General features: G+C 45.7%; 1 annotated feature.

Annotated features, from left to right (window-relative positions):
• Positions 400 to 1,599: an enhancer, noted in NCBI's record as "P300/CBP strongly-dependent group 1 enhancer chr6:79966597-79967796 (GRCh37/hg19 assembly coordinates)". NCBI's record gives its function as "activates an origin of replication core promoter dependent on BRD2, BRD4, P300/CBP, MED14 and CDK7 cofactors, with strong dependence on P300/CBP, by STARR-seq in HCT116 cells {active_cell/tissue: HCT116}" and the evidence as "EXISTENCE:reporter gene assay evidence [ECO:0000049][PMID:35650434]".

Here is a 2,213-nt window from a genome sequence, read left to right on the forward strand (position 1 = left end):
GTTTTTTGGTGTGGATGTCCTTTCTGTTTGTTAGTTTTCCTTCTACCAGTCAGGCCCCTCAGCAGCAGGTCTGTTGGAGTTTGCTGGATGTCCATTCCAGACCCTGTTTGCCTGGGTATCAGCAGTAGTGGCTGCAGAAGAGCAGATATTGGTGAACTGCAAATGCTGCTGCCTGATCTTTCCTCTGGAACTTTTGTCTCAGAGGAGTACCTGGCTGTGTGAAATGTCAGTCCGCCTCTACTGGGGGATGCCTCCCAGTTAGGCTACTCGGGGGTCAGGGACCCAGTTGAGGAGGCAGTCTGCGCATTCTCAGATCTCAAGCTGTGTGCTGGGAGAACCACTACTCTCTTCAAAGCTGTCAGACAGGGACATTTAAGTCTGCAGAGGTTTCTGCTGCCTTTGGTTTGTCTGTGCCCTGCCCCCAGCGGTGGAGCCTATAAAGTCAGGCAGGCCTCCTTGAGCTGTGGTGGGCTCCACCCAGTTTGAGCTTCCCGGCCACTTTGTTTACTCAAGCCTCGGCAATGGTGGGCGCCCCTCCCCCAGCCTTGCTGCCATCTTGCAGGTGATCTCAGACTGCTATGCTAGCCATGAGCGAAGCTCCGTGGGCGTAGGACCCTCCAAGCCAGGTGTGGGATATAACCTCCTGGTGTGCCGTTTGTTAAGCCCGTTGGAAAAGTGCAGTATTAGGGTGGGAGTGACCCAATTTTCCAGGTGCCCTCTGTCACCCCTTTCTTTGACTAGGAAAGGGAATTCCCTGACCCCTTGTGCTTCCCAGGTGAGGTGATGCCTTGCCCTGCTTCAGCTCATGCACGGTGTGCTGCACCCACTGTCCTGCACCCACTGTCCGGCACTCCCCAGTGAGATGAACCTGGTACCTTAGTTGGAAATGCAGAAATGACTCGTCTTCTGCATCGCTCATGCTGGGAGCTGTAGACTGGAGCTGTTCCTATTTGGCCATCTTGGCTCCACCCCCTTGGCTGGCTTCTTTACCATATGCTGTTTTATCAGCAAGGTCTTTGTGACCTTTCTGTAGGTTGCCTGTTCACTCTGATGTAATGTTATTAAGTTTTACTTTTGCTGGAAAATATGATTTGACCTCCTATCTCATCCTGTGACTAAGAATGACTTAACCTCCTGGGAATTCAGCCCAGTAAGTCCCAGCCTTATTTTTACCCAGCCCCTATTCAAGATGGAGTAGCTCTTGGTCAAACGCCTCTGACATATTTCACCCTTCCTTTTTATAAGAGAACCCTTAATCCTAAGTGTTCTAGAGCAGCAAAGATCCATCTTCTGTAACTTCTTCAGGCTGAATAGGGGTGATGATATTCTTGCTTAACTATTAGGGTCTCTTGTATTTGGGGTAGAGAGGAGCTCAGTCAGAAAGCATCAGTATGGCCACTTATAACTCCAAGTTCCAACAAAAGGTGATATCTGGAAGATTAATAAGTGTTTGATTTAAGAAAATGTTTTGTAAGCTTATCCTGCATTCCTACACAACGAGTACAACAGGAATATATTGCACAACAGTAAAGCAAAGTAAGTAAAATTATCCCAAGTAAACTAAATAACAAGACTCTCCATGAACTGGGCAACTGTTGGAAACAACCTGATGTGGGGTTGCTAGCTGATGCCAATACATACCCAGAAATAGAATACTAATCCAGATTTTTACATTACCGGTCCCTCCTGTTTCTTTTGAGCACTGGCCAGAGATCACTGGTTGGTTCACAGGAATAAGCAGGGTTAGTCTAAATTGCTGGGAAAAAGAAAACTCAAAAACAACTGATGAGACTAGAATCAAATAACAGGTATACCTTAGTTCTTGAAACATAATTTTCCTCTTTCCAGTTTCCCATTTTTACTAAAGACATATCATGGGAAGACCAATTTGCTTTATTATACTTGGCCTGATTATTGGTATAAAGTGCAGCAAGGATACTTATTTTTCATATAAGCTTTTTACATTGGCTTTTATGGAACTTTGTTCCATAAAAGGAATCTCAGATAAGACTGTTTTTAAACCTGATCCTAGCCATGAGTTTTTATCATCAAATACCTATGAACAGGGTAAATTCCTCTCTTCTTGAGGTACCAAGATAACCTGGGGCTCCTGGGCCTGTTAGAAAGTGACATTCTTTACTTACCACAGGTCAGGAACCCTGTACAGGGACTGTGTAGACAAGGTATGAGGCCAGTTTTCCAAAGAGCCTTTT

This window comes from Homo sapiens, chromosome 6, assembly GCF_000001405.40.
Source record: "Homo sapiens chromosome 6, GRCh38.p14 Primary Assembly".
Classification (NCBI taxonomy): domain Eukaryota; kingdom Metazoa; phylum Chordata; class Mammalia; order Primates; family Hominidae; genus Homo; species Homo sapiens.